This window comes from Homo sapiens, chromosome 2 (assembly GCF_000001405.40).
Source record: "Homo sapiens chromosome 2, GRCh38.p14 Primary Assembly".
Lineage (NCBI taxonomy): Eukaryota > Metazoa > Chordata > Mammalia > Primates > Hominidae > Homo > Homo sapiens.
The window spans coordinates 60,950,759-60,973,814 of NC_000002.12; the positions used below are offsets into that span (position 1 = coordinate 60,950,759).

Here is a 23,056-nt window from a genome sequence, read left to right on the forward strand (position 1 = left end):
ACTCTACCATTTCCTTATTGAGGGACGCTGATTTTGTTCCCAGTCTTTTTGTTGTTGATTTTGCCACTTAAAGCCCTTAAACACCATGTACATATTCTTATGCACTGGAGTTTTATTTCTACAGGACAGTTCAGTATATTTTAAATTTTTGCAGTCATTACCATGTTGTTTTTGAAAAAGGCTGAAATACTACATTTCTACTGAGAACTCTCCTCCACTCCAACCCACTGATAGGTATTATTAGTCTAAGGGGAATAAAGTGATGTCTTAGTGTTACGTCAACCTTTTCAAATGATTCTTGGCCACTGTTCTTTTTGCAGCTAACTGGTTCATATCCTTTGTCTATTTTTATTTGTTCTGTGTTCATATTTTTCATGATAAGTATAAATCCTATTTATCGTATCTTTTGCCATACAATTTGTTTTCTACACAATCCTCTATATGTGTATACATATACATATATATGCGTTTGTGTGTGCTTAAATCAGCAGTCCCCAACCTTTTTGGCACCAGGGACCAGTTTCTGGGAAGACAATTTTTCCATGAACTGAGGAAGGAGGGGATGGTTTTGGGATGATTCAAGCTCATTACATTTATTGTGCACTTTATTTCTATCATTATTACACTGTAATATATAATGAAATAATTTTACAGCTCACCATAATGTAGATTCAGTGGGAGCCCTGAGCTTGTTTTCCTGCAACTAGAGGGTCCAATCTGGGGATGATGAGGGACCCAGTGACGGATCATCAGGCATTAGATTTTCATAAGGAGCATGCAACCTAGATCCCTCGCACGTGTCATTTCCACGAGGGTTCGTGCTTTTATAAGAATCTAATGCCACCACTGAGGGAACAGAAGACAGAGCTCAGGTGGTAATGTGAGTGATAGGGAGCAGCTGTAAATATAGATGAAGCTTTGCTGTCTCATCTGCTGCTCATTTTCTGCTATGTGGCTAGATTCCTAACAGGTCACCAGCTGGTACCACCAGGGGGTTGGGAACCACTGGCTTAAATTAAAACATATCATCCTCTATAGAGTCTATACTTTTATTTTTTTCCTTAGCACTTACCAGAAACCTTTTCCTGTGTCAATAAATATTTATCTACCACATAATTTTCAATGGCTGAATAGTAGTGGTCCATTATACAGATAAGCCATTAATATTAAACCAGTTCCTTCTAGTAGGTCATCTAGGTTGTTGCAAAATATTGCCTATTTAAACAATGTGGTAACTATATGCATCTCTGTGCCCATGTATGCTCATTCCTTGCATTTGAAAGTAAACTATTTTTGGCCGGGCACGGTGCCTCATGCCTGTAGTCCCAGCACTTTGGGAGGCTGGGGCAGGCGGATGACAAGGTCAGGAGTTTGAGACCAGCCAGGCCAACATGGCAAAACCCCATCTCTACTAAAAATACAAAAATTAACCAGGTGTGGTGGTGGGCGCCTATAATCTCCGCTACCCAGGAGGCTGAGGCAGGAGAATCGCTTGAACCCAGGAGGCGGAGGTTGCAGTGAGCTGAGATTGTGCCATTGCACTCCAGCCTGGGCGACAAGAGCAAGACTCTGTCTCAAAAAAAAAAAAAAAAAAGAAAAAAAGAAAGTAAACTATTTTTATAAGAAGAGGTGGGGGCAGATGGCAAGAAGTATGCACATGAACAGGCACTCTACCATGACATGCTCAGGTATAGGAAAATGTCACATGTGGCAAAATGCATGTGCTTTACATATATTGTCATGTGTTTTATTCATGTATTTAATCTCAGCATCAGTTCTATTAGATAAGTGCTATTTTATATTTATTTTTGACAAATGACCAAAGATAATAATAGCATTGCCAAGTGTTTCCTATGTGCCAGGTACTGTTCTAAGTGCTTTATCTAATTAAACTCATTTAATTATTTTAACTAATTTTATAGATGAAGAAATTGAAGCAGAAAGAGGTTAAGTAACTTGTCCAAAGTCACACAGCTCAGAAATGCAGATCCAGCATTTGCACCCAGGCAAACTGTCTTCAGAGTGGGGGTCTTCCCCACTGGCCACGCTGCCGCTCCAGGGGGTTAGATGAACTGCCCAGTCCTTCAGCTAGTCAGTGGCAGAACCAGGCTTGGAACCCAGGTCTTGCTGACCCCAAAGCCCATGCCCTGTGACTTGCTAGTAATAAATTAGAAGACAATGGGATCTTTGATAGGCAACAGAAAAATGAAATAAAAAGAATAAGCACACTTAAACTACCTTTATGTCATTTAGGAATTCAATGTCTTTCTTCTGTATCGCTTTATTTGTCCAAATTAAGGCACTGTAGGTCTTTGTCTTTTCTTCTTCACCTTCTTTCATATGTCCTATTGCCTCTCTAAACAAAAACAATTTTTAGAAGTTTGTCCAAATAAACAAAATACAAAAAAACCTTGCCCTGAATTAGCCTTTCTTTAAAAACAGTTTACATATAATTTCCCAGTTTTAACTGTACAATTCAATGATTTTTAGTATGTTTTCAGAGTTGTGCAGCTATTACCACAATCTAGTTTTAGAATACTTTCATCACCCTGAAAAAGAAACTTTGTACCCATTAGTGTCACTTCTCATTATTATTCTCCCCCAGCCCTAGACAACCATTAACTGACTTTGTATCTCTATAGATTTACCTATTCTGAACATTTCACATAATGAAATCATACAGTACGTGGTGCTTGGTGACTGGCTCCTTTCATTTCATAATGTTTTCAAGGCTCACCCAGCTTGCAGCATGTGTCAGGACTTCATTCCTTTTCATTACCAAATAATATTCCATTGTATGGATATATCACATTTTGTTTATTCATAGACACTTGGGTAGTTTTCCACTTCTTTGCTATTGTGAATAATGCTATTATAAATATTCATGTACAAGTCTTTGTGTGGATGTTTGTTTTCATTTCTCTTGTATATATAATATCTAGAAGTGGTTAAGATTTGCATTTCCCCAATGACTAATTATGTTGAGCATTTTTTCATATGTTAATTGGCTATTCCTATATCCTCCTTGGAGAAATGTCTACTTAATCATTTCCCCATTTGTAGTTGTGTTGTTAAGAGTTCTTTATATATTCTGGATGCAATTCCCTTATCAAGATATGTGACCTGCAACTAAAACGTCCCTTTTGAAATCATCTCCAATGAGCCTACTCTTACCTTGTGACAAGCTGCAAGTCACGTACTTGGATTTTGTTAGATGAGTTATTAATTTTCTGTAGTAGCAGAAAAAGAAAAACAATTAGCAAGTCTAGCTCAGTTACAGAATTGCAGAAACATGACGATTTCCATGGCATGAAGTGGTTTACCTGCTGAAGTTCCTTAATTTCTTGTGAAGTGAAATGTACTCTATGAGGATTCACCAGCTCAATTGCAAAGGGCCTTCCTGGCAGCACACACCCCGTCATGAAACAGAAACGTGTTGATGGAGTTAACATTTGGGCTAATGCAAGAGGGTTAGGAGGTGTGAAAAGTGGGTTGAGCTCTAGAGGACTGAAAGTTTAGTGACATGACTACATCTGAGGGAGGGAAGAATGTGTGAGAAGAATCAAGGGGCTTTTTGCAGGGCTGCTAAACCCCAGCACAGGCAATATGTGAAAATGACTGCTTCCCCAAAGGCCCATGAACAAGCCTGTGTTAATTACAAAACACAGTTTAAATAACCACTAATTAACTTAGTTACACTAATGTAAAGTTGTCACATGCAGCAATGCCCTGTTGAAATCCATCCTTCTAGCCTGATCCACTAGTGAAATGGAAAAGCTTTGGTTCCATGAGAGGAAGGAACTATAAGCCTCAAACAGTTCAGGATTAAATGTCATCATCTTTCTGGTAATGCAATAGGGTAAAATGAGAGACATGAAGGTTAAGACAGCAGAATCACTTTTTAAATGAAGATGTACATTCTGAAAACTGTACTGGTCCTTCTGAAATGTTATTAAATGAAAAAATTAATAATCAAACTTTTGGAAAAAAAATCAAGCACCTCTTTGTTAATGCACATGCAAGTCCCTTATAACCTATAGGTATGCAATCAGGATGGCCTCTGAAGAAATGATTCCTGTTAAGGTGTATTTCATATAATTCATAAAGGGGCCTCCATAATCCACAAAGCTTCCTCCCTTGGAGAAGCTCTGGGCCTTGCTCACTTTGTTTTTCACTGAGTGACTATGCTAAGCCTGCTGTCTAGAAAGGATGATAATCAGAAAGTTAGTTCTAATCAGGTGATGCTGTTGCAGTCTTACCATTTCCTAATGTTCTCACATCTACATCTTCTCTTCCAGAGGATGAAAAATTAAAACCTTTGAAAAGCAGATAAAGAAAAAAAAATTAGAGACATCATAGCTCTAAGATATTCATTCCCAACCTTTGCTAGAAACCCAACTGAAGGTCTTGAACAATCTATAGGAGAATCCCCAGGGAGAGTCATCATCCCACCTCTAATGTCAATCTCTACTAAAAATAGTAATGCTAATAGTAAACACCATTTATTGAGAACTTATTATATGCCAGGCATTGGACTAAAAATGTTATATATATAATTTAAATTTTATTTATTTATTTATTTATTTTTAGAAATGAGATCTTACTCTGTCACCCAGGCTGGAGTGCAGCAGCGTGATCATGGCCCACTGCAGCCTCAAACTCCTGGGCCCAATCAATCCTCTTGTCTCAGCCTCCCAAGTAGCTGGGATCACAAGTGCACACCAGCACACCTGGCTAATTTTTAAATTTTTGTAGAGATGAGGTCTTGCTTTGTTGCCCAGACTGGTCTTTAACTCCTGAATTCAAGCTATTCTCCTGCTTTGGCCTACCAAAGCACCGGGATTATAGGTGTGAGCCACTGCACCTGGACCATGTACTATTTAATCCTTATTATAACCTTATAAAGTAGGTATAAAATAAAAGAACACCAAGCTTCAGAAAAGTTAGGTAATGTTCCCAAGGTCACACAAGTAAATGGCAGAGCTAGGTGTTTCTGACGTTAAAATCCAACCTTAACTACCATCCCATGGGAACGCCAAGGCAGAGTCCTGTTTGGAAGAAGAGCCCACCACCCCTCTGGCCATAAGCGTATGGTGAAAACTCTATAATCTTTCTTTCTTTCCTTAGAACAAAGCAAAAACAGTCATTATTTAAGAATTAAACACCATGAAAGGAAAAGGAGGGAAAAAAAGGTTTGACTCTAAGAAGCAAATTCATTATATATGATTATACATGTCATGAAACCAAAGCTGGGACCATGACAGAACCAGCGTATGCTCTGCGATAAGTTGATCGTCACGGACTAAAAGCTGCAAATATTGGAAGGAGAAAATTAAAAAAAAAAAAAATGTAAGGGGCTTACACAACAACTTTTTTAGATATAGAACTAGGCCAGGCAGGATGTAGGAGTCTGTGAACCACTAAGTCCCAAAAAACTCTCCCTTCTGTGTTTACACTCCAGTGTGAAGTTACTAATAAATCCATAGCAATATCGGTATCTTCTAATCAGAGTCAACAGACTCAACCTGTAGTGCTAACAACAGATGGATGGCCATAGTTCAATGGTGAATTCAAAAAGGGCATCTGGGAAGCTGAAGATGCAGACTCCTTGGGGCTAGGATTTGTCTTACAGCTGCCCACCCCTGTCTCCCGGTCAGCCCCGTCAGGAAAACAGGGTGTCCACAGTGACTGAACAAGAACCTGTGACTGGCAGGGGTGAAGGGAATGAACAGGCCTCAAAGAAATAAGTCTACTAGTTACTGAAGGAGCAGAAATCTTAAATTCATAAGTCAGCCATAAAACTTCCCACAAATTCCAGCCCATCAGTAAGAAAGAGGTGTAGAAAGCTAGGCCCTTGAGAAGGCCACAAAAGCATTTGATTCAGACTAAAGGAGAAGCCATATTTACTGATCTTTTAGAAAAATGTTTCAAACCAGGCTGGGTGCGGTGGCTCACGCCTGTAATCCCAGCACTTTGGGAGGCTAAGGCAGGTGGATCACGAAGTCAGAAGATCGAGACCATCCTGGCTAACTTGGTGAAACCTGTCTCTACTAAAAATACAAAAAAATTAGCTGGGTGTGGTGGCGTGTGCCTGTAGTCCCAGCTACTTGGGAGGCTGAGGTAGGAGAATGGCGTGAACCTGGGAGGCTGAGCTTGCAGTGAGCCGAGATCACACCACTGCACTCCAGCCCGGGTGACAGAGCGAGACTCCATCTCAAAAAAAAAAAAAAAAAAAAAAAAAAGAAAGAAAAAAAAAGAAAAATGTTTCAAACCTGAAAATTAAGGAAACATCCTTGGACTCCAGAGTGAGAGAAACCTGGGAGGTAAACCTGAAAACTTATTAGTGTGCAATTATAAATAGCAGCTGACAAAAAAGGAAAAGAAGCCACTCCCTTAAGTATTAGAAAATACATGCTTAAAACTTGGTTGAGTTTTTTCAACTCCCATTATGCCTTGTCTCATCCCCCTAAGAAACAGTATCAAGGGCAAGAATGATCAGGAACTATAAGTGGTTCAGCTAATCTGCAGTGGTCCTCGTGTGCTGATGCCTGGAACGCGATGCACAAGCCTTGGACAAAGGATGCTGCAAGACCCATGACACACCTGCCCCCTGGCTGGCTCATAGCATTTATGATGGGTGGAGCTGGCTAGTGGGGGAACATGTAGTACCCCCAGCCCAGGCACTGTGGTGCCCAGAGCAACACTGGGTTAACACCACTGGGATGGCTACCTGTCACGGCCTGTGTAAACATAACACGGTGCTGTACCTTTATCCCAGATAATCGGCAGAACGTAAAAGCAGCCCTGCAATGGGTCTCACGGGAGATTAAGACAGTCAAGGGTTTTACTGATGACCCCCTGCAGAGATGGCGGGCATCCCTAGGCTCTAGCCTACGCTGTGCCCTGGTAGACATAAGTAGCATAGCTGGGATCCTAGTGGTGATCTGTTGCTCTCTGTATTGTTGTTGTGAGTTATGGACTCAGGGCTCTGCCCTATGGCCGTGTGTCCCTGCCCAGAGGACACCCTCAGCCCAGGGGGTGGAGTATAAGGGAAATGGCTGTGTTTTAGTCAGGAGTAGACTGAGGCAGGCTTCCAGCACAGCATGACTCAGTAGGTTTGGTGCACAGGTGCACAACCCCACACATTATGTAACCATGCCACGTGAGGCACATTAGGTGATCACTCACATGAACTTTTGCTTGGCTCGGAGCCACTATTGTCTGTAAAAGGTATAACTACCCTGCTGATGCTGTACATATGTCTCGTGCCTGGGCTTTTGCCCAGAGAGAGAGAATAAAGCCATGTCCAAAACTCCCTAAGATTCCTTAAGTGTTCTTTCAGCTGCCCACCACTCATCCGCCCACTCCTCTCGGTCTTCAGCTTGGGCTGGAACCTGACACTTGGCGTGACAGGTGGCCCCAAAAAGAATCCAAATGAAACTTTTTGTGCTAACGCTTTATTTTCATCCCTTCATAACCTGCATAAGTCTTATGTGATAATCCATTTGTAAATACCAAATTAAGCGGGTAAAAGCTCATGGCAAAGCCCAGGGTCTTTACTGCTAAGATTTTGGAAAATATTAGGGTGCTGGTATACTCTTTTTTCCATTCAGTAAACAATTCTTAAAGACCCTTAAAGAAGGGCCACCTCTGTGATAGGCAACAAATTATAAGAGGGATGTGGTTTGAAGTGTTTCTCTTTCCTCCTTGCAAGTCAGGGAGCTGGAAGGGTCAGCCATGTCTCATCTAGACCATGTGTTTGTCATTATCAAAGCATGCTTATCTTAAGGTCTTTCAGAGAGAAGGATGGATTTCTAGCTGGTCTGTCACAAAAAGGTTTTCTGGCTGAGTGTGGTGGTTCACGCCTGTAATCTCAGCGCTTTGAGAGGCCAAGGCAGATGGATTGCTTGAGCTCGGGAGTTTGAGACTAGCCTTGGCAACATGGCAAAACTCCATCTCCACAAAAAATACAAAAAAATTAGCCAGGCATGGTGGCACATGCCTGTAGTCCCAGCTACTTGGGAGGCTGAGGCAGGAGGATTGCTTAAGCCCAGGAGCTAAAGGCTGCAGTGAGCCGTGATCACACTACTACACTAGAGCCTGGGCAACAAAGTAAGACTCTGTCTCAAAAAAAAAAGGTTTTCTAATTATACTAGGAGCCTCATTCCAAAGAGTAATATCATCCATGCCCTGCAGTTTTTCCTGACGTGTAACACCATTTCCTGCAATTGAAATCACAAGACATTATGCTGCCTTTGACCTGACAGGCCTGTTGAGACAAGGAAAACATAAACCTGATGGAACCTGACTCATCCCATGAACCTGGGCTCGTTAATACCTAAATTCAAAAACATTACAGCTGCCATTCAGTCTTTGTAAAATGGCTGCTGTTGATTTACTTTCTCTAGGCCTGAACTTTATTCCAGGACACTTTACAGGTTAAGAGAGAAGCCAAACACTTGCCAGTGATTACTCTTGAAGAAGCACTGGATGTGGAAGATGTGTTTTAATTTCCTCATATTCCCCCAAAGAGGCCAAGGCTGAGGTGTACCAAGGTCAGGGCTTAGGTGCATTCATTTAAAGTAGTTTCAGTTGTTTTGAATTTCCCCAGGAGAGAACAGTCATTTTTCAAATTTATTTTTTATTTTTTTAGGCAGAGTCTCACTCTTTCGTCCAGGCTGGAGTGCAGTAGTGCGAGCTCAGCACACTGCAACCTCTGCCTCCTGGGTTCAAGCGATTCGTGCCTCAGCCTTCCAAGTAGCTGGGACTATTGGTGCGCACCACCATGCCCAGCTGATTTTTGTATTTTTAGTAGACACAGGGTCTCACCATGTTGCCCAGGCTGGTCTTGAATTCCTGGCTGCAAGTGATTCGCCCGCCTCAGCCACCCAGAGTGCTGGGATTGCAGGTGCGCACCACTGCACTCGGCAGAGCAATCATCTTGAGAGAGGACAGGCAGATATTCTCGAGTGCCTTGGCTGAAATCCAGCCCAGGCCAGCGGCACCCAGAACATGATGCCATAGGCACAGGAAGCCTATGGCCAAGAGGCCCAGACTTGGTAGTGATTAACAAAATATAGAAATCTTTCCTGCCACCCCCAAGAAATCTATTCATGAATGTCAGTGTATTAAATATATGGCCAAGTGCAGTGGCTCATGCCTATAATCCCAGCACTTTGGGAAGCCCAGGCAGGAGGATCACTTGAGCCCAGGAGTTCGAGACCAGCCTGGGCAACATAGTGAGACCCCCCAATCTCTAAAAATATGTTAAAAAATAACCGAGCATGGTGGTGCATACCTGTGGTCCCAGCTACTCAGGAGACTGAAATGGGAGGGTTGCTTGAGCCTGGGAGATTGAGGCTGCACTCCAGCCTGGGTGACAGGCTCTCTCAAAAAAAAAAAAAAAAAAAAGAGAGAGAGAATAAAATATGAAGATTAGGTCAGGTGGGGTGGCTCATGCCTATAATCCCAGGACTTTAGGAGGCCAAGGTGGGCAGATCGTTTGAGCCCAGGAAGTCAAGGCTGCCATAAGCTGTGATCGTGCTACTGCAATCTAGCCTAGTTGACAAAGCAAGCCCCTATCTCAAAAAAAAAAAAAAAAAGAAAGAAAAGTATGAAGATCGTAACACTTACTCTCTGCTTTAAATACTGCCAACAGATGATCTGAAATTAATTCTTCCACTGAAGATTCCAGCTTCCTTTCTCCATCAATTATCCAAGGAGTTTGTGGTAGATTCCTGGAGTATTTATTATATCTCCCTGAGAAAGAAATAATCAGATAGCCTGGATGGAATGGAGTAATTAACATGGTAGGATAAAAAGAGAAGCAACAACTATAAGGGCCAATATCCTAAGTGCTACGATATAAAACAAGGCCTATCCTTTACCTAACTAACAATCCAATTTGGAGACCTGGGACATATACATGTAGATAATTAAATAAAAAGGTTTAAAGTAACAATAAAATAGATGGGTAAATATATGATATGAATGGTACATCAAATGAGTTTGAAAGGAATGCTCAATATATTTAATTTGATTGGCTGACTAAACAAGTTATATAATATTATGAATATACCAAGGATAAAAAAAAAAAAAAAAAAACGCAACCAAACTTGCTTTTACACCTGATGAGTAAAGCTACAGTAAGGCAGGTAGCTTTCATTGCCCTAGGATAGGATATTATAGTCAAGGCTGAAGAGCAATTTCACTTCAGCTATTACTATAAAACAGTTGTAACTTTCAAACAAAAATTTGTCTGCCAGATTACCTTTTAGGAAAGTCAATGAACAATTTCTTTCCAGTGGAAGCCAAGTGTTTAGTCATTTTGGAGATAATAAGTTATTTTTTCAAGTTTGCTTTTATGTTATAAAATAGCCTCTGTCCTGCTGTTTTTCTCCAAACCAGTTTTGGGTCTCTGCATCTACCCATATTTCTACTTGGCCATCTCTGATGAGAACTATTAAAACCTAGGAAGTGTCATTTCCCTTTGGCATGGCATTTAAAATAACTGATCTCCTAAGTGATCCTTTAGAATGCCCACAAAACCTAAAATAAGTTTGGCTATTGATTCTACTTCTCAAGAGAGTAAACTTATTAGAATCTAATAACAACAATAAGAATAAAATAGAACAGGAGTCAGCTGAGTTTTTAGAAAGGAGAGTACGTTCACAGTGTATGTATATTCTAGACTAAATATTTTACCAGCCACAAAAACAGCACCATGAGCACATTCAATTTCAAGAACAGCGCATACAGCCTTTGGTGAGTTTGGAGGACAAGGAAACTGCCTGCAAAACAAAATAAATTTTATAGCTATTTTCCAGACATAATATTGAATCACAAAACTTAGATGAATCAGCATTGTCTGAGACATACACAGAGCCCAAGTCTCTCTCTAACTTTTAGTTTCGCAACAATACAGGTCTTGCAGGCCTGTGGAGTAACAATTTTAACATATGAGAGTGGCACTAAGTAAATAAGGGCTCTGCTGCTACCTTTCACCTTCGGGAGGACTTATCTTCCGAGGCAAAAACTGCAATTACTTTTGCACCAACCTAATACTTTCCAATAGCCTCAAGATTTGAGGGAAAAATCCATACATAGGAAGTGGAAGCCCCTTCAGGCTCTTTAACCATTTTGCTGTCCATGGTCATGTGCAGTTTACTGCTGACTCTACCCCCCTTATCACATCATCGTTTGAAATGTATTGAAGGATCTTCTGGAAAGAAAACTTACAGTAATATTTTATTTAATAAAATGAATGTACCAAGAATTAAAATGTAAGGTTTATTGCATTTATTTTATTTTAGCATATTTTAACAAGTGAGGAAACTCATGAGCCTTCCTCTCCCTTTTCTGGAGATGAACGATACTAGGAAATACAGGACTAAGGATGTAATAGGCATAGCACTGGGCTAGAATTTCAGGACATCTGGCTCCAGGTCTACTCTATTACTAGCTTAGGCAAGTCAACTCCTTCTTTGGACACACTACCCTCTTCTAAAAGATCAAGAAGTTAAACTTGATTCGGCCGGGCACGGTGGCTCACGCCTGTAATCCCAGCACTTTGGGAGGCCGAGGCGGGTGGATCACCTGAGGTCAGGAGTTCAAGACCAGCCTGGCCAACGTGGCGAAACCCTGTCTCTACTAAAAATACAAAAAATTAGCCGGGCAGTGGTGGTGCATGCCTATAATCCCAGCTACTTGGGAGGCTGAGGCAGGAGAATCACTAGAACCCGAGAGGCAGAGGTTGCAGTGAGCCGAGACTGCTCCACTGCACTCCAGCCTGGGCAACAAAAGTGAAACTCTGTCTCAAAAAAATAAATAAATAAATAAGTATTTTTTAAAAAAAAAAGACGTTAGACTTGATATTAATTTGACAAACATTTACTGAACACCACATATGCCAGGTACTGCACCATGGGTTGGAGAGATAACAATGACTAAGACACAATCCTGGCCCCTGAAATACATCATCTTGTTTCAGAGATAATCCAGCTTATCTCTAACATTCCCTTTATTCTAAAATTTCACGATGCTTCTTTGTTTCTAAACTTCTACTTACTTAAGGAAATCCTCTTCCTTTATCTTATTCAAGGCTTTCATAACTGCCATTCTAGTGAATACAGACTATATAGGGTAAAATGAGAAGAAAAGACATTTTATTATCCAGACAAGAAAACATCAGACGTGAAACACAGAACATGGCTGGAGAAATTGTATCATTTCATTATATCATTTCATATACTTAACATGGAGAAATACTTAAGCATTTCAAGAAAATAAATAAAACTTAAGCATTCATGTCAGTTCTGCAACTGGCATACCTCTGTAACCCTTCTCTTCAATCTGGTCTTTGTCTATAATAACAGGCAGATCTAGCAGAACAGGTCTTCTTCACCACACTGTCCCACTTCTCTCAAATTATGGTATAATTCAAATACAAAACATGATGACACTGTAGGAAGTGTGATTTAATTTTTTTTCCCTTGACTTCAACAGGAATTTAGATTGATTCAGCTACCTTTTCTTTCCTACATCCCTTCAGAGGCCACAGTATGTAATTTAGGAGTTGGCTGCCAGGGTAAGGGATAAAGCAGAGCCAACCTGCCAGCCCTGGCATCTAGCAACTCAGTCTCACTCACCAGCCACAGAGTAAGCAAATCCACTGTACTGAACAGAAGGGCATCTACAACAAATGTTCCACTTGGATTTTTTAAGATAAGAAAAGCCAAACTGCACAGTAGACACACTAGAACTAATTAGTGCATATATACATGGCTTACCATGATAAATCACAATTAGTTCTTCTGTTAGGAGAAATCACATTTGACTGAAAAGGATTACAGTGTAGGCAGCTCAACAGTATATCACCAAAGGAATAATTTTTTCAAAACCATATTCTAGGGAACACTATGGCATTCTATAAGATACCATAGGGTTACAACTGAAAATTAAGTGCCTGTTTGATAAGATATGAAATCTTAGGCTTGAAAAAAATCTCAAAAAGTCATTCAATTTGCTCCCAGCCATGAGGCAAGAAAACTATACTTCAGACTCTACAACTCCCACTGGCCAATGGTGTGGTGTCTATGATGCTTTAACAAAAATCTCCTTATCCTATTACTTGATGCCTATTATTATATTTCCTTAAGGGTAAATAAAATAAAACTAGGTCTTCAATGTAGATACATCTTACAGGTTATTTGGGCAGAGCTTCCCAACTGGCATAGCAAAGCAGTGGACTATGGTTGTGCCAAGATGTTGATCTCTTTAGTTCAGAAGGGTTGCTGGGCAGGGCCTCAGACAGTGGAAACCCCAGGCCTGTTGCTACCAATCTGAAGCAACTCCATCCTGTTAAGCTCAGGGTGCTGAACAAACATGGAATGTTTTAGATGTGCCATGATATAAGAAAAGTAGGGAGGTGCTGCTTTCGGCTTGGTCTGCATTTCTAATTATTTCTGCACAGGGCATTAGGCAAATGTTACAAACTTCTTTCCCCCAGTTCTAAAAGGCCCAGCAATTAGTCAAAGCAAGAGGCAAAACCAACAGATGTACATTTGACAATGAGCTTATGTTCTTTTTAACAATCACAACAACAAAATGAATGTCAGTAAAACTGTAGGAATGCCTAAGTCTACGTACCAAACCACCTACGAAACTGATGCATGAAAGATGACCAATATCGCACCACATCATTCTATCCTGACATGATACGAGCTAAGAGTGTATGTTAACTAACTTGTCCGTTAACATGAAGATTAGCTAACATTAAGATGATAAAGAAGAGTTTGAATAAAAATGCCCTTTTTGCAAATGTAGCCAGAAAGAGGACATGTTAATTCAGGACTGTCCTAAATAAAACAACTTACTTTGAATTATATATTCTAAACATTGATTTCTGGAAAATGGATATTAGCTGAAAGTTTGGAATGCTACTGATACTTACCATTGATTTTCTCAGATGATGTAATTTGAGGGATTAAAATCTAAACGTCGAATTTAATGAGTAATAGTAACATCACTGAAACACTGATTCTAAATTTAACATCGTCAGGGGAACAATCTAGACACTACACAAACATGAGGATGTTTGTGTGCTACAACTTCCTAGCCAGAGGTGAAGGTTGAAAAAGTTGAAAAACAAAAATTAATGTAGCAAATGGAAATATTTAAAAGCTGATTCTTAGTATAATAGAGTTGCCATGTTTCTGATGCATATCCTTTTTGTTGGAAATTTGAATATTCAGCTCAGACAAAACTCACTCAAGACTAAGAAGCGGGAACCTTTCCTTACCTGTTTGTTTTTGGCTGGCTTAAAACAATCTGGGCATATCGCAGCTCTAAAATAAAATTCAAGTTAATATAAAAGGTTAATGAGTTTATTTTGGGGTAGATATAATTCAAATATATTTCATACAAAATGGCTGCTAAACTCAGGACATCAGGAGCAGACAAAATGAGTCCCTGTATGAGCTATATCGGTTTGCCCAGGAACTATGTTCAAGGACACATTTTATTTTTTTGAGGGCACATTTTAAACCTACTAAGACATAACAAGTTCTTCTCTTTCTTATTAGGAAGAGAAGCAATACTATTTTCATGAAAACCAAACAGCATTAACAATTTTACACCATTGACGTTGTTTACATGGCAACTTACAGGAAGTGGCAATCCTCAACTGTTTCTGGGTGAGCAAAGACCACACTCACTTCAAACAAGCTCTAAAAATTATAAAGACAGTTTAAAAATGAGCAAAAGGAAACTAACATCTAACAACTTATTAATGGAAATAGAAATTAATTCTCAAAGATTGGCTCAGAAAAGAATGACCAGAAAAACTGGAAATACTACTGCTCTCAAATCAACTTGTTATCAGGGCAGCTGTAAAGGAAATAGTTTTGTTTTTTTTTTTAACTTCTAAAACTCAGTCATTAGTGATCCTACCAAAAAAGTTTTAAAATAAATGTGTATACTTTTTGGACAAATGTGTAAATTAGGTATAAAGATGAATGAGAATTTACAGAATTGAAAATAAATAATAACAGAGAGAAATGAAGAATTATTCTGCCAATACTATGATTTGAATTATTAGCAAGGCAAAAAACATACTATTCAGATCCCTAAAAACCATATGAAGCTTCTTTTTAAAGTGCTCAAACGTCTTAATGGATTTGAGTTTTAAAACCAGATCTTAATTTTTTTTGTTTTATTACAAAAATTATACACATAAATTATAAAATGATCAAATACAAGACAGTTTTTCAATCCCACGCCACTGAAGCAGAACCATTAACAATTTGATGTTTCTTTCTAGGCATTTTTGTGAATATAAATGTATATGTATTATTTTTTAAGACATGCTTTTGGAAAATTGCTTTAATATTATATCATGGAAATCTTTTCAACTCTAGGGACTGTCAGACATTTAAGCTGTAGAAAATTTTTCTGTAACAAAAAAAAAATGCTATAATGAACATCCTTGTACACCAAAAAAAGCATGATTTTATACTTTTACCTCCATGGAGAATATACAAAATTCCATATCGGGGAGGGGTCAGGGGCAGGAATAGCTAAAAATGCCATACTATGTTGCAATTTTGTCTTTATATTTACTGAGTTCATTGGATAGTTAGTAGACCTATTAGCTACTCTAGAATCACAATAATGAATAGCTTTTTTTTTCTCGCTCCTTATTCTAATCTATACAATAATTAAAATGAACAACGCATTCCTTTTATTCAGGGAAACTTCACTCAACCCACATCTTTTGTTTTCTATTTTCTGTTCTCACTGATACAACATGTAAAATTATTTGTGCTTCAAAACTGAAATTTGAGGTAAAAATATTTTGCATTAATGACTTCTCTAACTTCCAAAATACTTTCATTACCTCATTTCCTCTTCATGCTATCTGTGAAGTGGTTTTATTCTCTATTCTCTCAATACTCGGTTTACAGAACAGAGCATATTCTTACAGAAGGAAATATTACTGCATAATTCAGAATGGTTTTGAAAAACTGTTTAGCTTTAGTAGATGGTTTTGTGATTTTATTTGAATAGGGGTGTATCTGATATTCAGGGAATTTCCTTCTAGCAAAATGATGAAGCAATGAGGCCATAATATTAAAATCTAATTTAAGATGACCTTCCTGTTTTCACACCTGGAAGCCTGTTGAGTCTTCCCTGAAAGTCAACCCATTTCAGAGACTGAGGTAAGGTCTGCTCTGGAAAAGGGAAATGTTCTGTTTTCAAAGGCAGTTACTGCCTAAAAGTAAACAGGGGGATTTGAGATACCAACAAGGTAGGATTGAGCCCATACTCATTGTAGTTGAATAGGTTCTGTCCATGCATTTGAAAACAAGATTAGCCACAGATAAACCAAAATTAAATAGTCCAGAGTTGACTCTATATTTGCTTGCAGTTATTTATATGTTGCTTTGCATCAAGTCTGATGCTTTGCATCAAGGCAAAGATTCATTTCTAACCTTTTAAGGTCAATTAGGGCACCTGGTACCTTCATAAGTGTCTTAGATCATAAAGAAGTCTAAGGGAAAAAGAAAAAAAGAAATGCTTTGACTTCAATTTAAGACTATCAGAATTTAACATTTTAAAAGCTTAAAAAATCCTTCACTGGATTATTTAAAAAGAAGTTTTTTTGGCTAACCAAAACCCTGCCATATAATTAAGTAAAACTAGTAAAATCAGAGAATAAAATTAACAATGCTGTTGACCCAATACCTTTCCATCAATGGGAACACCCAGTTCCTCTGAAAACAGGGGGTGAGTTATCCATTTGTAGGCTTCTTTTAGCTGAACTATATCATCTCTTCCCAGCGACAGACTCTGCTTTCTGAATAACATAAAAATTAATTCACTGACATGAAAAACTTTACTTTTTCTATTAAAGGCAAGAATTTATGCAATTATTTTTAAAATATTGATTGAGTGCCTAGTATGTACCAGGCACTATTCTACACATTAAATAGAAAGCAGAGAACAAAGCAGACAAAAATTCCTCACCTCATGGACCTTATACTCTAGTGGAATCATGGAATTACTTTTTTTAATGGCATATAACACAATTTTTAAAGCTTCAAAGTCAAAAGCACACTATGGGTTTTTCTAAGCTAGAATTGCCAGATTCCAGGATTTATACATCAGAAGACAGAAAGATGGGATAGAGATGATTGGTTTACTGCTCACAAACTATAAAACTGTGTATTACAATAATCACATCCACATTTTAATGCTTGCTTTTCCCCTCTTGTTGAAAATGGGGCTTACTTTTGGGAAATCAACAAAGAAGCTGTACTTTTTAAAAAACTTTACTGCTGAAGAAGAAATATTAAATCCTAAAGTATCAATGTTCTGAAATGCTCATCAATGTATTATCAGATAAATAGCTGAATAAAAATTTGACATTCCCCCAAAATATACTCATGAGACAATAAATAGGTTTTGGGAAGTCCCTTTTATAAATTATAGCTTTAGTTTGTAACCTAAAATTGTGATAGAAAGGAACTTGAGATAAAAGGGATGAAAAACATGGTGTGGTATTATTAAAACTCCTCTACTCTGCTGAGAACACTGGGATATTACTAACAAACTAACAAGCCCACGTCATTCAAATAATTAAAACTTCAAACCAGCCTTATGGCGATTTATAGGGCTGCTTTTAATGAAAGAGATGTAAGGGCCAACTTATGCATCATCCCTTTTAATGCCCAATTTTCACTGATAGAAATTACTCCTTATAGGCAACATCCATTGTAATTTAAGACCAAAAGACACTACTAACCACAGGTTAAAAACAAAAAGTAATTAAGCTAATGGCTGAATTTAGTTGATCAGAAAAAAAAAAGAATATGCAGATCACTATTCCTCTAAAAATGCAAAATAAGAAATAGTTGATCCAAAAAAAAATAAAAAAAAGAAAGAAGTAGTTGATCTACCCATTCTGTATCCAGCTGAGAATATAACTTGTTACAGAGAGAGCTTTCATATGGTTTGGGATTGTGATTTAACATTGAAATACCCAGATAAACTCTACATCTGACAAATAATCAAATTATTTCTCTACATCCAAGAACTTATTCAAATACTGTGTGAGCTTCATAAACTGTTCCTAATTCTCTGAATATTAGAAAGATTTTAGGTATTTTAAAAGACTATCCTGATACTGTGTCAACAGTTCAACTATTTAATATTTGCACAAAATAGCATCACAGTTGAAAGTAAATAATATATGAAAATACATTTTAAAGAATAAACGTTGAAACAGAAAACACAAGAATGGAAACAATTTTTAAAACTGTTTACATTCTGGAAAGTCCAAAGGGTTGTTACAAAAGCGAATCCCAAAAATGAGTTAAAACATTATTTAAGAAAACCAGTGTTTTAAATCCTTCACAGTCTTTGAAATATATTTAGTGCATTTGAGTCCAGTTTAAAAACTTCAACCATAGGTATTTTTTCCCTCCAGATTATAGAGCCAGAGGAAAAGGTTAACAGACAGCTTGGAAACCTCATCCTTATATATAAAGCAAATATACTACTTAAAATGCCAGATTTCCAATCCTGAAAGTTAAATGCAGCTAATAAGTTTCCTAATACAATTTGGGCTAAATATCTTCACAGAGGTCCCTAGCATATACCTGATTGTCCTTTAGAGGGACTAGTACTCATTAAAGTAAATTCAGTCCCCATTTCATACTTAGTAACTACACTTCTCTTTCTCTTCTCTGTCAGATAAGTGCTTATGAGGGTGTCAGTTGCAATCACTTTTGCTGTAGATACAACACAACAACCATTCTAAAGAAAAGATGAACCAGAGTATGCAAGGCAATTAATTTTTTTTGTAAGTTCCCTAAATCAATTCTTTAACAGCAATTCCTCCACAATCTTTTCAACCCAGAATGAACTAGGGACACTGAGGGAAAAGAACAATGACCTGTGTTTTTTTCTGTTCCATTATCCCTATATCAGTCAGAATCTTTTGGAAGAACTAAACTTAGTTTAAAATCCTTTGATAAGAAATAAAAAGCCGGGAGCAGTGGCTCATGCCTGTAATCCCAGCACTTTGGGAGGCCGAGGCATGTGGATCACCTGAGGTCAGGAGTTAAGAGACCAGCGTGGCCAACATGGTGAAACCCTGTGTCTACTAAAAATACAAAAAAAATTAACCAGGCATGGTGGTGCATGCCTGTAATCCCAAGCTAGTTGGGAGGCTGAGGCAGGAGAATCACTTGAACCTGGGAGGCAGAGGTTGCAATTAGCCGAGATTGCACCACTGCCTGGGCAACAGGGGTGAAACTACGTTTAAAAAAAAAAACAAAACCCGAAATAAAAACAGTAACTCATTAGCAACATAGATATAAATTGAAAACATTTAGAAAAAAGCATGCTCTGACTATGCTAGCAAATTTCTAAAAACATAGGATCAAGTTTTATTACACCAGAATCTAAACCATTTGAGACTAATTTAATAAGATCTAACGAAACCCCCAAACCTTATGTAGTTATTACCCTTTTGAAAATGCAGATATATAACACAAAACAAACAAAAAAGCCAAATTAATTATTTTTCTATAAGTCACTTAACCAAGTATGAGATTCTAAAACAGAAATTTATGCTTCTTCCTGGATTTTTCTCTCCAGAGTACATAGGTACTGCCAACAGTCATATGGCCCTTTTTTTTACTGGTATGTTTTAGTTTCAAATGCCAAAATATTCTGGAGAATTAAAAAAAATTTTTAAATTCAGTTGGGAATCAAATCCTGATTTGAAGGAGGCGATTTAGAGACTTTATCAAACTTACTATGAATATTCATATGTTTTGTTGCAGAAATATTAATATGTTTGATTATGTAGTACCACCCCAGAGCCTGGGCGGGGGAGGGGACGGAAATGATATACATGATCTCTAACATCATATCACATTTTAAAAATCCAAAAATTTTATATTTCAAAACACTTTTGGCCTCCAAGTGTTTCAGATAAAGGATTGTGAATCTATGTTTTCTATGTCTTACCTATGTGTAAACTCACTGTTGTTCCACCAGTTATTTACTTTTTATCTTTTATGACATAGTTTTATAGTTTAGTTTCTAAGACCAATATAAAATTTATTTTTAGGCTGCATGCTGTGGCTCGTGCCTGTAATCCCACCACTTTGGGAGGCCGAGGCGGGTGAATCACCTGAGATCAGGAGTTCAAGACCAGCCTGGACAACATGGTGAAACCCCATCTCTACTAAAAATACAAAAATTAGCCAGGCATGGTGGCAGGCTCCTGTAATCCCAGTTACTTGGGAGGCTGAGGCAGGAGAATCGCTTGAACCAGCGAGGTGGAGGTTGCAGTGAGCTGAGATCACACCACTGCACTCCAGCCTGGGTGACAGAACAAGACTCCACCTCAAAAAAAAAAAATAATAATAATAAATAAAATTTATTTTTAAAAAATAACTGCCCAAACTACATTACATAAGTGCCTAATGCATATAAAACATGTATTTACATTCATATTAAAACACACAAAAAATGAACCTGCTTTAATAAACTACTAATATGCTATGCAAATAAACTAATGAAACAAGATTGATACCCTAAATGTATAGAATAAAAATTGGTTCTTTGTGCTAATTTCTCTAGTAGCTAGTGAATGCACTATAAAAATAGAGATTGTAGTAGTAAAAGTGCTTTAAGAACCAGGTAGCTTGTATTTGAATGGTAGTAAAAATTCCCTACCTAAATTACTTACCCCATTTCCTGTTTTACCAGCAACCATGCAGCATGCTGTAGGCAATTTAGTCACACCCAGAAAGAGAAAAGGGGGAAACATGTTCAGTGAAATTAAGTCTCAATATCATTACTGAAGTGCTTAACTATTTGCTAATCAAACTCCCCTTTTTAGGTGACGAGTTAGTATTCAAAAATTTACCAGTGACCTCAGTCTCATTTAAAATCAAAAATGAGGTAAGATTTTATTTTGCAATGGTGGTTTACTGTGGCCTAGGAATTCAGCCGGGGTATCCCCCTCCTCCTTACAGATTTCTATTTCTCATTAATGAGGTATGAGTGTTTCTTTTTCTTTCTTTCTTCTCTTTTTTTTTTTTTTTTTTTTTTTGAGACGGAGTCTCGCTCTGTCACCCAAGCTGGAGTGTACTGGCAGGATCTCAGCTCACTGCAACCTCTGCTTCCTAGGTTCAAGATATTCTTCTGCCTCAGTCTTCTGAGTAGCTGGTATTACAAATGCCTGCCACCACACTCGGCTAACTTGTGTTTTTAGTAGAGACGGGTTTTCACCATGTTGGCCAGGCTGGTCTCGAACTCCTGACATCAAGTGATCCGCCCACCTCGGCCTCCCAAAGTGCTGGGATTACAGGCGTGAGCCACCGCGCCCAGCCCGCATTTAATCTGGGCCAGGCGCGCTGGCTCACGCCTGTAATCCCAGCACTTTGGGAGGCCGAGGTGGGCGGATCACGACGTCAGGAGATCGAGACCATCCTGGCTAACACGGTGAAACCCCGTCTCTACTGAAAAAAAAAGTACAAAAAAATTAGCCGGGCGTGGAGGCGGGCGCCCGTAGTCCCAGCTACTTGAGAGGCTGAGGCAGGATAATGGCGTGAACCCGGGAGGCGGAGCTTGCAGTGAGCCGAGATCGCGCCACTGCCCTCCAGCCTGGGCGACAGAGCGAGACACCGTTTCAAGAAAAAAAAAAGAAAAAAAAGAAATGTATGCCAAATGCTTTGCATAGTAAGTGACTGACACTGAGATTTCTGTTTCCTGTTAGACTCCCACAGCTTTCACCTTAAAGAAAGGTAACGATATGTCCCCCACAGCACACAGCATTTTGTAAACATGACGGAAACATTGTATAAGTCAATAAATACCACATGTAGTCTGCTTCTACGTGTCACAAAAAAAGGCCAACGATTATCATTCACATCCACTTCAAGACACGGCTTAATTTATGGATATGCTGTGGTTCGTATGTAGACCTGTCCTTCTAAACTAACAGGACTTCCTTCGGATGACCAGTAGGGTACTCTATGGACTCCTAAAGACTGATGATCACTTGGAAAGATTAGCTGCATTAATTCTTTCAGACGTCAGCCAAGTAGAATAAATTAACCGCTAACTGGGCACAACCTGTTTCCAGTGATGGCAGTGTGGACCGTCCGGAGTAGCTGCTGCCATCAAGCCTGCTGCAGCCGGGAGGTGTGGGCGGTGGCGGCAGGAGGGGTTGTGGGAGCAGCAGTGGCGGCGGTGGGACCCCTGTGCTCCACATCCCCGAGGCAGCCAACTGTGCCACCTCTGCTCTCGCATGGCCGGCCAGGACCTGTTCTCAGGCCCAAAGCCTCCGTCCCGGCCTCAACCTCGCTCCCCATCACCATCTCAGGGGTCCACAAGCACCCGGCCAAAGGCACAGCCGGGACTCGTGGGGCCAGCCCTGAAAGTGTCGGGTTAATTTGCACGGGGTTGGCTGGGGCGGCCTCTGCTGTGGGGAAAACGCAAAGAGGCAGGCAGTCCCTGGAGTCTCACCCAACTTGCGGCTGTGGACCTAAGCATCTCTGCACTTTCAGGGACCCGGGAAGGCCCCCCCGTTGTCCCCACAGGCCTGGAGGGGTCTGCTCCCGCTCCCTGACCTCTCCCTGCTCCCAGTGCCTGCACCAATCTCGGAGAAGGGTTGGAGCCGAGCCTGGGCACTGTCGCAGCCCAGCCAGGTGTGTGCACACTCATGGCAGTGCTGACACGCCAGCCCCATGCTGCCTCAGCCCCCTGTAGACTTTGGGCACCAACAAGTACGGGAGGGAGGCCAAGGAGGGGCTGAGGGCAGTTTGGTGCTGGCCTGCAGGCGCCCCTTGGCAAGAACAGCCAGGGCGCCATGAACAGCAGCAGGAGGCAGAGAGGTTCCTGGGCAGAAAGCGGCAGGTCCACAGTGAAGCCCCACCTTCAAGCCAGGGAGGGCCTGAAGCCTGGGGGCTGGGCTGCCAGTCCCCGGGACAGGAGTAGGAACTTGTGGTCCTTTTTCCAGGCCCACCCATGGCTG

The 23,056-nt window shown here is 39.6% G+C and overlaps 1 protein-coding gene across 22 annotated transcripts in view; it reads right to left on the reverse strand.

Annotated features, from left to right (window-relative positions):
• The window catches only part of PUS10 (pseudouridine synthase 10), a 78,037-nt gene that overhangs the window by 10,536 nt on the left and 44,445 nt on the right, over positions 1-23,056 (reverse strand). For 21 of the 22 annotated variants that reach the window (XM_011532574.4, XM_017003428.3, NM_144709.4 and 18 more), the window contains 11 exons: positions 20,765-20,799; positions 16,744-16,855; positions 14,665-14,726; positions 14,300-14,345; positions 12,068-12,132; positions 10,705-10,790; positions 9,634-9,759; positions 4,260-4,316; positions 3,324-3,400; positions 3,175-3,230; positions 2,239-2,356 (listed from right to left, as the gene is read on the reverse strand). In XM_011532574.4, the coding sequence (XP_011530876.1) occupies positions 2,239-2,356; positions 3,175-3,230; positions 3,324-3,400; positions 4,260-4,316; positions 9,634-9,759; positions 10,705-10,790; positions 12,068-12,132; positions 14,300-14,345; positions 14,665-14,726; positions 16,744-16,855; positions 20,765-20,799 (840 nt within the window). The remainder of the gene's footprint in view (positions 1-2,238; positions 2,357-3,174; positions 3,231-3,323; positions 3,401-4,259; positions 4,317-9,633; positions 9,760-10,704; positions 10,791-12,067; positions 12,133-14,299; positions 14,346-14,664; positions 14,727-16,743; positions 16,856-20,764; positions 20,800-23,056) is intronic. The other variant, NM_001322127.1, reaches the window with a different exon arrangement.